The sequence below is a fragment of the Homo sapiens genome, chromosome 1 (assembly GCF_000001405.40).
Source record: "Homo sapiens chromosome 1, GRCh38.p14 Primary Assembly".
NCBI classification, from domain to species: Eukaryota; Metazoa; Chordata; class Mammalia; order Primates; family Hominidae; genus Homo; species Homo sapiens.
The window spans coordinates 95,023,213-95,038,173 of record NC_000001.11 but is presented as its reverse complement, the minus strand read 5'-3'; the positions used below and the strand labels follow the sequence as shown (position 1 = coordinate 95,038,173).

Sequence of the window (14,961 nt, the reverse complement as noted above, 5' to 3'; positions counted from 1 at the left end):
ACAGGGTTTCACCATGTTGGCCAAGCAGGTTTCAAACTCTTGACCTTCAGGCAATCCACGTATCTTGGCCTCCCAAAGTGCTGGGATTACAGGTGTGAACCACCGCACCTGGTCCAGTTTATTACTTCTTACTTGGTGCTAACATTATATTTAATAATTGTCTCATATTATAGTTATCCCTTTGACTGCAATTATCACTTTTCCTGTGCTGTCCTGATAGACTGCAGTGAGTTCCTTGTGAATGTCTTATTCACCTCTGTTTCCCTAGCCCAGTTCCTGTCACCTGGCAGGTGCTTGTTGAAAGTTTAATGAAGAAACAAGTGAATGAATCCATGCTTAGAGAGTACAGCTCTGAAATTCAATGTCGTAAACAATTGTTTCATACATGATTTTAATATATATATTTTATTTTAAGAAAAGGAATGCAATTTTCTTACCATTTTAAGGACAAAGGAAGGGTGCTTCAACTTCAAGTGACATAAACCTACGCTTAAAATTGGCTTGAACAATAAAGGGAATTTGTCAACTTACAAAACAGGAAAAATTCAGTCTTATTTCTGGCGAGGCTTGGTCCGGTTGCCCAGGCATATCCCTATAGCAAGAGTTGTCTCTCTGCTCTGTCTTCTGCAGTGGCAGCTCCACCGGGCTTCCCACAGTGCTGCCTCCAGCAGCTCCAAGCTCTCTCATTAGGGTAACAAAAACCTGTAGCACCTCCTGGCCTCATGTCTCTTCCTCTTCATGAGGAAGAAGAGGATCTCTTACAGCATATGGGAGAGAGAGCCCCAGCAAACATCTCCTGCCTCATGGTACTCCAGTGGGGTTATACTCCCATCTTTCAGCTAATCATTGTAGCCAGGAATGATTCCTCCATGTTGCTTCAGCCATTCCAGGCCTACTCTTAGAGGCAGGGTTAGGGGTGAAGGGGACAGGAGGCAAATACCACCAAACCGTCCGGCTGAGAATATGAGAGGAATGAGTTACCCAAAGGAAAATTGCGATATTGTCAAAAGAAGGAGTCAATAAAGGCTGAGAGAGAATAAATGTGCATTTATAAAAGGCTTTAAAAATCTTTTGAGCCAGAATCCCATAATTTTTTCAGAAACAAACTACTTTGTTTTTCCCTGAAGTCTCAGACCACCAGGCAAGGAGAAGCTTCTGGAGGTAAAGTGAGGGGTGGTTTCAGGCCCTGGGGCAGAGCTGGAGTGCAGCCTCATTTCTCTTTGACAAGCCAGTCTTGAGCCAGCTGTGGGATCATGGTGGCTAGTTAAGGATCCCTGATCTCAGCTAGCCCTCCTTGCTTCACAGTGGGACACTGAGGTCCAGAGAGCTTGATTCATGCAAAGTAAGTGGTTATCAGCAGGACCCATCATGGGACTGTATTAGTCTGTTCTCATGCTGCTATAAAGAACTGCCCGAGACTGGGTAATTTATAAAGAAAAGAAGCTTGGGCCAGGCGCGGTGGCTCACGCCCTTAATCCCAGCACTTTGGGAGGTCGAGGTGGGCGGATCACCTGAAATCAGGAGTTTGAGACCATCCTGGCCAACATGGTGAAACCCCGTCTCTACTAAAACTACAAAAATTAGCCGGGTATGGTGGCGCATACCTGTAATCCCAACTACTTGAGAGGCTGAGGCTGGAGAATTGCTTGAATTTGGGTTGTGGAGGTTGCAGTGAGCCGAGATCGCACCACTGCACCCCAACCTGGGCAACAGAGTGAGACTCCATCTCAAAAAAAAAAAAAAAAAAAAAAAAAGAGGTTTAATTGACTCACAGTTCCACATGGCTGGGGAGGCCTCAGGAAACTTGGAATCATGGTGGAAGGCACCTCTTCACAGGGTGACAGGAGGGAGAATAAGTGCCCAGCAAAGGGGGAAGCCCCTTATAAAACCATCAGAACTCATGAGAACTAACGCACTATCACAGGGGAACTGCCCCCATGATTCAATTATCTCCACTTGGTCCTTCCCATGGGGGTTATGGGAACTACAATTCAAGATGAGACTTGGGTGGGGACACAACCAAACTATATCAGGGGCCCACAGCACCCTCACTTATATGACACTTCATGGCATTTCATCAGCACCATAAAGTATCTACCAAGTACTTGAAGGACATATAAAAAAAAATTTTGTGGTAAATTATGGTCATCTTGATTTCATAATGATTAGTTGAACCATCCAACATACATTTAAAAATATACATTGCATTATTTTTAAATAGTTATGAAAGAAAGCTGAAACCATTTTTGGTTGAATGAAATTTTACCATTTTAACTTTGTCTTGTTTCCAGGACTTTTCAGTCGTGTGGCATTCACTAAATAATAAAGGTATTGTATGTTTCAGTGTGTGGTAACAGCAAAGAATGACTTCATCAACCACTTGATCTCCTCTGTTGTGGTTTATGATGCCATCTGGATTCTTTGGTGGAATTATTTCCATCTAAATCACTATAAACTCCTATTTAGTTTTCACAAATCTAAAGCCAGATATGTTTGTGGTTTTTAACAGTGATGTAATTCTGGAACATACTTTGAAAGTTACAAGTTGTCATATACTGTTAGTATTTAACTCAGTGTTTCATATACTATCAGACACTAGAAGCCTGAACAAAATCCATTTCTCTGTTTTTTCACTCTTCAGCATCCTACTTTTCTTGTCTCTCTTGCCACCATATATTTGATTATACATCAGTCAAGTTCATATAGGGAGCGTTGGGAGGCCTTGTGGGCATACAGAGTACTATGGGACATGGCCCTGTTCTACAGGAATTAGGAAGCTGAGATGGAAAGGTTGTTTCACTGTTTCACTAAAATATGTTTTCTTCTATACGATAGAGAATAAGAAAGAGTCTTACTTCTTTGGCCAATAGTGTGAAAGAGACTGGATTATATTGAAGACAGGTAAATTTTGCAGGATATACACATTGAACTACAAAGAAAGAAAGAAGAGAGAAAGAGACAGAGAAGAAAGAGAGAAAACAAAACAAAACAAAACAAAAACATCCTTTCTAGGAACATATAACCCAGCTGACTGCCAGGTAGGAGCAATAGCAGGACAGCAGAACTTGCCATAAGGGCCTTGAGGCCTAAAGTTCAACAGAAAAGTCTCAAAATTTCTGAGGTCCTGTTGTGTTCTTATTTTGATTTTTCCCCTAAAAGGCTTAGGGAATGTGTCGGGGTAGGTGGCGGGCGGTCACTGGTAACAGTGGTAGGTGGGTTTGGTAACCCAAGCCTACAGTGCAAAACAGGGCACAGAGGGCAAAGAGAGAGGAGGAGGCAGGGAGCTTAGTTCCTGTAGAGGCAGGGAAAGAGACAACAAACTCTATGGGTTTGAGAGTGGGTGATTTGAAAAATCAAGGAAGAAAAAGGAAATGGATCAGGATGAGTAGTTGGCTATACATAAGAGTAGCAGGAGGCAGGGAGTAAACTTCGTGGTTCAGCTCCTTATATGTTGGGGAAAGCAGCTCCTCAGCAGTGAGACACAGAGATCCAAGCAAGATCTAGAGAAGGAGGTGAGTCAGCAGCATATTTCAGAACACATGGAAGACCTGGGTTCAGGTCCTGGTGCTGTCACTTTAGGGAAGTCCAGATTCCTCATCTGCAAAGTGAGAAAGTTGGAATAGTATGTCCCTTAAAACCCTGAGATGTCATGAGGTTAAGAGCCAGCATCTTCCCCATCACCATCCAGCATGGACTAGACTTCTAGAAATTATAATGATAGTCATTTGTCTGTTCAGCAAGTTATTTACTGAGTACCCATGATGTGCAAAACATCAGGCAGTGGGATCGTAGCAGTGAGCAAGATGAAATCCTTTTCTCTCATGGAGCTTGCATCCCTGGAAGAGGGGCAGACTACATACAATCACATATACACATAAATGAACAAGTTAATTGGAGGTAATGGTGATTGCTATGAAGATGGTAAAACAAGACAGTGTGGTGGAGAGACCACATATTTGGAGAAGAACTGTCTCCCCTCTGAGTGGGTAATGTTTAGACAAGATCTGATGTACAGGAAGGAGCTAGCTGTGAGACAGTCTGGGAGCAAATCAAACTTGTTAGAATGAGCAGACAAGGCCCTCAGGAAGGAGTGAGTCTGACACATTCAAAGAACAGACAGAAGACCAGTGTGGCTCAAGTGAATGAACAAGGAGGAATTAGAGATGTGAGCCAGCACCAGATTACATGGGACCTTGGGAGCAACTGTAAGGCATTTGGACTTGGTGCAGTGGAAAGCCTTTGTGGGATTTTAAGCAGGAGAATGAAAGGATCTGCTTTACATTATAAACAGATGGGTCTGGCAATTCTATAAAGAATAGATTGTAGGGGAGCAAGAGGAGAAGCAAAGAGACTAGTTAAGAGGCTGTTGAAGTAGTCAAGGTGAGAGATGGTAATGACTTGAATTGTGGGAGTAGCCGAGACATGTGGAATAAGTGGTTAGCTATGGAATGTGTATAAAAGTTTTGGGAGAAGGAAACATGGGGGCAGCCTCCTCTCTCCTTTCGGTCCCTGGCAACCTCATAGATCTTCATATCTAGAAGGAAATCTATGATAGATTTTACTGTTGATTTGTTGATTTCTACCTTGGGAATACAGAAGGAGTAGCCCATTGTGGTGGAAAATATAATAGTTTTAAGTCACTGTAGAAAGGCCTAGTGGATAGAGGAATACAAATATATATATATATTTGTGTATATATATATGTGTGTGTGTGTGTATATATATGTATGTGTGTGTGTGTGTGTGTGTGTGTATATATATATATATATATGTATGTATGTATGTATGTATGTATTTCTCAGCCCCCGTAGGATGGATTGAGATCCAGTTTAGCAGCCTACAGTGTCCCTCAAAGGAAGAACTACTTTCCTTGGTCTATAGGAATCCAGGAAAAGACTGGCCCTGCTAGGGTTATGTGGCCACTCCTGAACCAAATGGTAGTTCTGGGAGTGGGAGGTAGGGGTGGTAAAATGATGGAGCAGGCATCTTTTATGTCTTGCATCCCATTATAGGACATGAAGCTGGGTCAGGAACAGTTCCCTTAGAGCAAAGGTACAGACTAACAAAAACAACGTCTATAAAGATGCCTTCATTTGGATTTCTCCAGATATCAGAACCCCTAGGTAATTCCTGGCCAAAGGTCATAGCAGGCCTGAATTGTAGCTGTCTGAACCTCTGTCTCATTCCCTTGTCTTCAAAGGAAACTTTAAGACCAGAATATAAGCCTTGTATTGATTATTTTTCATTGACTTCTTTATATAGTTGATTTTATTTCCTAAAACTATGTAAAATAATAAAAACTCTCTTAAGATTTTGCCACAGCCTGGCTCTCAGTGTTTCCTTTAAATGACACAGGACATCAAGTAACCCAGTACCCAATTTCTGTGTCAAGTATAGGTAATCTGAGGGCACTGTCCCTGTCAGGATGGCCCGGGTTCCCATCTACTTGACTGCCTGGCAGCATAGCAGGTATCATAGAAAAACAGTGGGGCAGAGAGTTTTTGAAGCATTGTTAGATGCAGAAGGGGATGCCCTGCTGCTCTAATTGGCAGGCTCCTTTCCCCTTTGTGTGCATACCTCAAAGCCTCAGCACACTCCTCTCTCATGGTCCTATTTTTTGGAAAGAGGACCCACAGAGGCTTTTCACCTAGAACATGTTAGGGAAGGGGGACATTTGTCTTTGATTCCTTTGTGTCCCTCCTTCCTGTTTCCCCAACCTTTGGGGTTTGGTGCCTTCTAGCTTTGGCTGTTTATAAATCCACAATTCCCTGCACTACCCCAGCCTCTCTCCTCTAGCTTCATGAATTCCATTCAGTTCAACCCATTTAAAGAGTGGCCCTTGCAAATAAGGCTTTAAGTATACACTCTCAAATTACCCCCCTTGTGTCCTTTCTATATTCTAAATATATCTCAGCTAGGTGATAGGAAGATGGAATTGATTTATATTACTGTGTAATGACATATTGAATTATTTATTCAATAAAATTTTTTTTTTTTTTACTACAAACTATAACCAAGTACTCTTACAAGCACTGAGATTGCAGTGATTAAAGTTCCTGGCCCAGGGCCAGGCGCAGTGGATCACGCCTGTAATCCCAGCACTTTGGGAGGCCGAGGTGGGCAGATCACCTGAGGTCCGGAGTTGGAGACCAGCCTGACCAACATGGTGAAACCCTGTCTCTACTAAAAATGCAAAAATTAGGTGGGTGTGGTGGTGCGTGCCTGTAGTCCCAGCTACTTGGGAGGCTGAGGCAGGAGAGTCTCTTGAACTGAGAAGATGGAGGTTGCAGTGAGCTGAGATCGTGCCACTGCACTCCAGCCTGGATGACAAGAGCTAAACTCCGTCTAAAAAGTAAGTTCCTGGCCTCCTTGTGTAAGTTATGTTCTAATGGAGGAGACAGCAATACATAAATAAATAAGTATATAATATGCCAGTATAGTAGATGTTATTTTAAAGCACACAGAAAGTTTGGTGATGGAGGAGGGAAGAATATGTGTACGTGGGGATGGGGAGAGGGGAGGATGGGGATATTTTAGAAAGGCTAGTCAGGAAAGATATCTCTGAGGAGAACGGATATGCTACAATGGTGGGGGGATGTGTAGGTGGAGACTTGGATTTATAGAGCAGTCTTTTTAGTAGGATTTTCAGTTACCTGAACTTACTGTCAAAAAATAATGTGAGAAAGATCGGATAGGATTTGGAAGTGGAGCTTCTCTAGTTTAGAGCTGTAAGCCAGAGAGTGGCACCAGATGGACTCTCCTGTCCCGTGCCAGTCATTGTTAATGTCACGGTTAGGGCTTCCACCTTGGCTTTCTTTCCAGCCACCACTTCAACTTTCATCCCTGACTTTGATGCAGATTCTCCCACCATATTGACTCTTCAGGCTGTGCTGAACAAGTATCCTGCCCTCTGACTTGGAAGAGGCTCCTCATTGCCCTACCCTGTGGATAACCATGTGCTTTATTATTTAAATTGATACTTCTGAGAGCATGGGGCACTATCAATAATTATGCTGAGACAACAAGTGTAGGCTGAGATCCACCTCTGCAGTCTAGATGATTGGTCACTGTAGGCATGTGGTCATTGGCTGAGCTAGCTCCAGCACACAAATGGAACCAAGACTCCCCTCCCAGCTAAACTTCTGGTCTGGAGACTGGGAGGTTGGCTCCTTGTATGGTACATCCACAAGTAAAAAGAGAGGTCATCAAACTTTAGTTACTGGTCTTGTTGCCTTACCCTCAGGCCTGATTTTCTATTTTATATATTGGAGGTCCCTCAGTTCCCACCCCAGAACATGCTTGCACTAGTTTCTATTCTTCTGAAAATGGACTGAGACTTCCTAAACCCATTTTCTTAGCTGCTCCAGGCTGCTGCCAGGGATGAGATGTAGACTTTCTTCCACGTCCAGGTCTAGGAAAGCTATCTCCAGCCCCAGACGCTCTTGCATAGGCTTTACCAGGCTTGGATGTTTATGTCCTTGGAGCCAAGGTGTAATCAGGGGAGCCAGAATCAAACTGATCATCCTTCCAGTCCTGGTGACACTGTCTGGATATAATCCAGAAATGTTGTTCATTGCTGCTGCTTCGTAAAGTTGTATGCTCACAGCCTTAACAAAATTAAAGGAACATGATAAACACCCATGCTTTTTTAAATAAAATATTATAGGTATTGAGATTAGGCCACACAATTTGGTGGAAGTAACAGCCAAAAAAACTTCTATGATGGAATTCTACTGAATTATTTTTATCACAATAATAACAATGACATGACATCTTACTGGATTCAAATGTAGTTTGTAGTATAGGTCCACAGTCCCTTAGTCTGAAATCCTAAAGAGCTCTGAAAACTGGAAAAAAAAAAAATCCAGTTTGTCACAAGCTTATTTAACGGCAAAACCTGATTTGAATCAGCATGAAGCTTATAGTCTTTATTTATCCTGTTTAGTGTGAATATTCATGTATTGTTGCAGAGATATTAATATGTTTTATTTCTTTCCCAAACTTCAAAAAAGGATATTATATAATATGTGGTATATAAACCATATTACCTGTCCAAACACTTCTGACCCAAAAGGTTTCTGAGAAGGGATTTTGACTCTACAGTACTGCTTGGCCTATTACTTGTTTTTCAATTAGTAATCTCCACAACTTAGATGAGCATAAACCTCAAACAATTTGCTATTGCTTCTGAGTGGTTTATAGTTTGGGAACTACTCAGTATTAGTTTCTAGTTCAATATTTAGTACCTTAGCTTCTGGAAGGAAAAACATTGATTTGATAAAAGATTGATAAATAAATAAAAATAGTGGATACATATTGAGCCCAGGTCTCCCATTCTACACTGGTATACCATGGAGAGATGAGAAAATATTCTTTGCCATCATATGAAGAAGCAGAGTGGTCACACATTTCCATTTTCACTTTTTGCTGAGTCTGTAAGAACTGCACTCATGTTCTCTTGGAGCATAATAGAAGCCTCCAAACACAATTTCACACCTTTTTCTGAGTGCAAGAATGTAGTTATATGCTTTTCACTGGTTTAGAAAAAGGCTTCTCTATCTTCTTTTCTCAAGGAACATATTGTTTCTCAAGGCCAAGGGGAAAGGAAGAATGTATTAATTATTCTGTTCTTTTCTTTCTGACTTAACTGTGTGGTAGCCAGGCTCCAAGAAAGCCCTCAATGATTCTCACTTCCTGGTGTTCACATTCCAGTGTAGCCCCTTCCATATCAAATAGGGTTGATCTGTGTAACTAATATCAAAATATCAGAAATATCAAAATGTGACTTCTGAGGTCAGGTCATAAAAGACGTGACAATTTCTGCCTTGCCTCTTCTTGGAGCACTTACTTTTAAGAGGCTAGCTGTTGCATAATGAGAACACTTAATTAAGGAGCCCTATGGAAAGATCCATTTGGCAAGGAACTAAGGACACCAACCAGCAATCAGCACTAAATGGCCAGCCATTGAGTGAGCCACCTTGGAAGTGGATTCTCCTGCCCCAGTCAAACCTTCAGATGACTACAACCCCAGCCACCCACTTGATTTCAAGTTCATGAGTCACTGCAAGCCACTAAGCCACTCTTGGTTCCTGACCCACAGAAACTGTGAAAAACAGAATATACTTATTGTTTTAAGCTGGTAAATTTGGAGATAATTTGTTACACAGAAATAGGTAACCAATATATCTGGAATTTTGATTCAAGGAAAATATGTTGGTTTCTCTTGATTATGAAAATATCACTTTCTTGTTGCAAATTTTAAACATATTCAAAGTTATTCTGACCTGAAAAATGAAAATATCCTGTAATATCATCTTCTCTGTAATTTCTGGCATGTAGTTCCAGCTCCAGATTTTTTTTCTTTTTCTTTTTTTTGAGGCAGACTCTTGCTCTATCACCCAAGCTGGAGTGCAGTGGCATGATCTCTGATCATTGCAAACTCTGCCTCCAAGGTTCAAGCAATTCTCCTACCTCAGCCTCCCAAATAGCTGAGACTACAGCTATTTTTTGTATTTTTTGTAGAGAATGGGGTTTCACCATGTTGGCCAGGCTGGTCTCAAACTCCTGACCTCAGAAGATCCACCTGCCTGGGTCTCCCAGAGTGCTCGCATTACAGGTGTGAGCCACTGTGCCCAGCCCAGTTCCAGATTTTTTTTAATGAAAATACTAATGCATGGCCGAGTATAGTGACTCAACCCTGTAATTCTAGCACTTTGGGAGGCCAAGGTGGGTAGATCACTTGAGCCCAGAAGTTCAGGACCAGACTGGGCAACATGGCGAGAACCTGTCTATACAAAAAAATTAGGTGGACATGGTGGCCCACACCTGTGGTCCCAGCTACTGGAGGCTGAGGTGGGAAGATCTGGGTATGGTGGCATGTGCCTGTGGTTCCAGCTACTTGGGAGTCTAAGGTGGGAGGATCACCTGAGCCCAGGGAGGTCAAGGCTGCAGTGAGCTGTGATTGCACCATGCACTCCAGCCTGAGCAACAGAGTGAGACCTTGTCTCAAAAAAAAACCAAACTAACAAATACTGATGTGTGTATGTATGCATGTGAGTATTTTGTTAATTGATGCTGGATTATATTAAACATGCTGTCTTCCAACTTGCATGATTCACTTAACGTGTCTTGGGATATCTTCCATACGAGTTCATATAGTTCTATGTCATTTGTTAATATATCTCCATATATTTTACTGTATGCACTTCTCCATTCCCTACTGGAGAATATTTGGTCTAATTTCAGTTTCCACAAATACAAACAATGATACAGTGGGGTAATCTGTGGGATATATTTCCAGAAGCAGAAATGCTGGATCAAAGGAAGACACATTTAAAGTTCTGATAGATATTTCCAGATTGCCCTCCCAAAAAGTTGTACCCATGTATTTACCCAGTGAATGTAAATGTCTATTTCCCCATACTCTCAACAACACTGGTTATCCACTGTCGTTGCCAATCAGGTAGGCGAAAATGACTTGTTTTCTGTTGTGCTTGTTAGCCATCTTTTTACATGTTTATCATTATTTGTATTTCTTCCATTTGGAGTTATCTGTCTGTCTTTGCCCATCTTGATACTAGGTTACTTGTCTTACATATTGACTGGTAAGAATTCTTTGTATATCAGCAGGTTAAATTCTTTGCCTGAAACATAGTTTATAGAAACTTCCCCCAACTTATTGTTCAAACTGGCTTTAACATTTTTTGAATCATAGGAACTTTTTTGTCATATGTGATCCCATCTGATGTGTTATATAAAGCATGAGATAGGCATTACAACTCTAATTTAAAAGTGGTTAGAATGAAAATTTAAATTAAAGAAAGCATTTCTGTTTCTACAGCTGTTAATTGTTACTATGTTTAACTTTGATATCAGTGACTCAGTTGATTTGGATTCCATCTGTTTCCTTCTAGTATACCAAATACTACATTCACCGAATTCCAAGAAGCCGGGAGGTTCAGCAGTCCTGGCCCTCCACCGTTTTCACCACCTTGCACTCCATGTGGCTCTCCTTTCCCCTAATTCACAGGGTGAAGCCAGATTTGGTAAGTAAGACCATCACTAAGGAGAGAGAAAGTAACTCCCTGTAGATCTTTCGTTAGTAACAGGACATACTGTTTTCTTAAACAGCTACCATTTATTAGTGTGCCAGGTAGTATGCAAGACCCTGAACTGGCTGGTGCCTTGATCTTGGACTTCCCAGGCTCCAGAACTGTAAGAAATAAATATCAGTTCTTTATAAGCCACCCAGTTTATCGTATCTCATTATAGCACCTGAAATAGACTAAGATATCATCCTTGGATTTTTGTGACTTTTATCACAAAGCACTCTTTCTCCTGCCTCAGCCTCCTGAGTAGCTGGGACTACAAGTGCATGCCACCAAGCCTTGCTAATATTTGTATTTTTAAGAGAGATGGGGTTTCACCATGTTTTCCAGGCTGGTCTTGAACTCCTGACCTCAAGTAATCTGCCCGCCTCGGCCTCCCAAAGTGCTGGGATTACAGGCATGAGCCACTGCGCCTGGCCTGTGACCAGTAATCTTTGATGTTATTGTTGTAATTGTTTGGGGACAGTGTGAATCGTGCTTACATAAGACAGTGAACTTAATAAATGTATGTGTTCTGACTGCTCCAACAGCCTGCTGTCCTCTCTCTGTCTCACACACACATACACACACACACACACACACACACACACACACACACACACATTCCTTGGGCTTCCCTGTCTATGAGACACAACAATATTGAAATTAGGCCAATTAATAACCCTGCAGTGGCCTCTCAGTGTTCAAGTGAAAGGTAGTATTTCTTATGTTTCACATTTTAAATCACAAGCTAGAAATGATTAAGCTTAGTGAGGAAGGCATTTGCAATAGGCAGTTAGTCAAGTTGTGAATGCAAAGGAAAAGTTCTTGAAGGAAATTAAAAGTGCTACTCCAGGCTGGGTGCGGTGGCTCACACCTGTAATCCCAGCCCTTTGGGAGGCCGAGGCAGGCGGATCACAAGGTTAGGAGATCAAGGCCATCCTGGCTAACACAATGAAACCCTGTCTCTACTAAAAATACAAAAGATTTGCCGGCCGTGGTGGTGGGCGCCTGTAGTCCCAGCTACTCGGAAGGCTGAGGCAGGAGAATGGTGTGAACCCCGGAGGCAGAGCTTGCAGTGAGCCGAGATCGCACCACTGCACTCCAGCCTGGGCGACAGAGCGAGACTCCATCTCAAAAAAAAAAAGTGCTACTCCTGTGAACACACTGGTTTCACGATAAGTACATGACATAGCCTCATTGCTGATATGGAGAAAGTTTGAGTGGTCTGGATAGACTATCAAACCAGTCACATTCCCTTAAGCCAAACCTAATTCAGGACAAGGTCCTAATTCTCTTTAATTCTGTAAAGACTGAGAGAGGTCAGGAAGCTGCAGAAGAAAAGTTTGAAGGTAGCAAAGGTTGGTTGAGACTTAAGGAGAGAAGCCATCTGCATAGCATAAAAGTGCAAGGTGAAGCAGCAGGTACTGATGTAGAAGCTGCAGCAATTTATCCAGAAAATCTAGTTAAGATAATTGATTAAGGTGGCTACACTAATCAACATGTTTTCCATATAAACAAAACTGCCTTATATTCGACGATGTCATTCAGGACTCTCGTGGCTAAAGAGAAGTCAATAGCTGGCTTCAAAGCTTCAAGGGACAGGCTGATTCTGTGTAGCTGTTGACTTTAAGTTGAAGCCAGTGCTCATTTACCATTCTGAAAATCCTCAGGCCCTTAAGAATTATGCTAAATCTATTCTGCCTGTGCTCTGTAAGTGGAACAACAAAGCCTAGATGACAGCACATCTGTTTACAGGATGGTTTGCTGAATATTTTAAACCCACTGTTGAGACCTACTACTCAAGAGACAAAGCTTCCTTTCAAAATATTACTGCTCTTGATATATTGGGCTGGATGTTTTTATTTAAAAAAATACAAAATATACTGCTCATTGACAATGCACCTAATTACCCAAGAGCTCTGATGGAGATATACAAGGAGATTAATATCTTTATGCCTGCTAACACAGCATCTATTCTGCAGCCCATAAATCAAGGCATAATTTTGACTTGCAAGTTTTATTATTTAAGAAAACATTTGTAAGGCTGTAGCTGCCATAGATAGTGATTCCTCTGATGGATCTGGACAAAGTCAATTGAAAACCTTCTGGAAAAGATTCACCATTCTAGATGCCATTAAGAACATTCTTGATTTATGGGAAGATGTCCATAAACAGGAGTTTGGGAGAAGTATATTCCAGCCCTCCTGCATGACTTTGAGAGGTTCAAGACTCAAGTGGAAGAAGTAATTGCAGAGGTGATGGAAGTAGCAACAGAGCTAGAATTAGAAGTAGAGCCTGAAGATGTGACTGAATTCCTAAAATCTCATGATGAAACTTGACTAGGACCCTATTCTGTGATAGGATTTATACTGTGCACTCGAGGTATAAAAGTAAACACAGCTCTACCCCTGAGTGGACTGAGGTGATCTGTGAAAATGGCTCGCTATTCACTTGACCCAGAAAAATCCCACAAAAGTCATGCAAACCAAGTTGTTCAAGTCTTCATGTTCACTTTAAGAACATCCACGAAATTGCCCATGCCAGAGAGACCTAAGTAACCAAGATGTTATGTAACTCCAATTTTCTTTAGACATGTATTAGATTCTGCTAATATTAGCTAACTTGCTCAATTGAAAAGTTATCCAGTATTTTAAAAAATATCTTTAATGCAGCAGGTACTAAAAGGGATGAATAAAACAGCTCTTCAGGAAGCTTATACTTTGGCTTCAGGGAAAATGGAGTAAAGAAACAACAGGTAGACTTGAAATACAGATTAATTCAGTTGAAAATAGAGACCCTATTTAAAAGGCCGGGCGCGGTCGCTCATGCCTATAATCCCAGCACTTTGGGAGGCTGAGGTGGGCGGATCACGAGGTCAGGAGATCGAGACCATCCTGGCTAACACAGTGAAATCCCATCTCTACTAAAAATACAAAAAAATTAGCCGGATCGAATGAGTAGGCTGATCTCATATTCTCTTGAAAATATACTCCTAAAGAGGAATTTGTTTCAAGGAGAAGAATAGAAAAGTTAATTTGTGAGATTGCTGATTATTAAAGTAAGAGGACTGCTTATGTTGGGGGAAAAAGATCTATAAAGTTCTTGAGGGTAAAGGCCAAGTATTTTTGCGTTTTCCATGGTCCTTTCTAGAAAAGCTTCCACATATTTGAGGAATGACTTAAAAATAAATGAATGAATACTGGATTAAGTGAGTCATCACAAAAACAAAGACACCCACTCCCTACACTGGTGCTCTTCTCAGGCTTTATTAAGAGTCTGAAAAACCAGGAGGGTTTCCAAAGTCTGCAGTGTTTGATTACTGGCTTCATTCCACCCTGGCCATTACCAAATGAAATACTCAAGGAAAGAGCTCTGCATACAAAAATGAAACCTAATTTAATTTTTAATCAAGTAAAAAATAAATTTCAGATTCTCCATATTAACAAATTGAAAGGAAATGGACCATTTCAACCTAATACTCTGCCTCTTTGCCTGAAGCTGGTTTAATTCACCATGACAAATTTAGATGTACTTATTACATCTACACTCACTCACGCTTTGTATGAAAGAAGTCCATTATTTTATTTAGTCATTTTTTTCCATGTTTCATACCCAGTTTGAGCTGTGAAATGTCTAAGTTCATAGCAGTAGAAAGTTGATGGCTGGGTGCGGAGGCTCATGCCTGTAATTCCAGCACTTTGGGAGGCCAAAGCGGGCGGATCACTTGAAGTCAGGAGTTCGAGACCAGGCTGGCCAACATGGTGAAACCCTGTCTCTACTAAAAATACAAAAATTAGCCAAGCATGATGGTGGGTGCCTGTAATCCCAGCTACTCAGGAGGCTGAGGCAGGAGAATTGCTTGATCCCAGGA

At 41.5% G+C, this 14,961-nt stretch overlaps 1 protein-coding gene and 1 long non-coding RNA gene across 6 annotated transcripts in view; one reads left to right on the top strand and one right to left on the bottom strand.

Moving 5' to 3' along the window:
- Positions 1–14,961, top strand: part of ALG14 (ALG14 UDP-N-acetylglucosaminyltransferase subunit) — a 98,547-nt gene that overhangs the window by 34,778 nt on the left and 48,808 nt on the right. For 4 of the 5 annotated variants that reach the window (NR_131032.2, XR_001737025.2, NM_144988.4 and 1 more), the window contains one exon: positions 10,914–11,045. Coding sequence is in view for 3 of the 5 variants with exons in the window: in NM_144988.4 (NP_659425.1) it covers positions 10,914–11,045 (132 nt within the window). In the remaining 2 variants the exon portion in view is untranslated. Of the gene's footprint in view, positions 1–2,291; positions 2,329–10,913; positions 11,046–14,961 lie in introns of all 5 variants that reach the window. The other variant, NM_001305242.2, reaches the window with a different exon arrangement.
- Positions 6,643–7,869, bottom strand: LOC105378863 (uncharacterized). The gene is made up of 2 exons (XR_947610.4): positions 7,779–7,869; positions 6,643–7,607 (listed from the first exon to the last, which is right to left on the bottom strand). It is a non-coding gene; the product is annotated as an uncharacterized LOC105378863 (long non-coding RNA).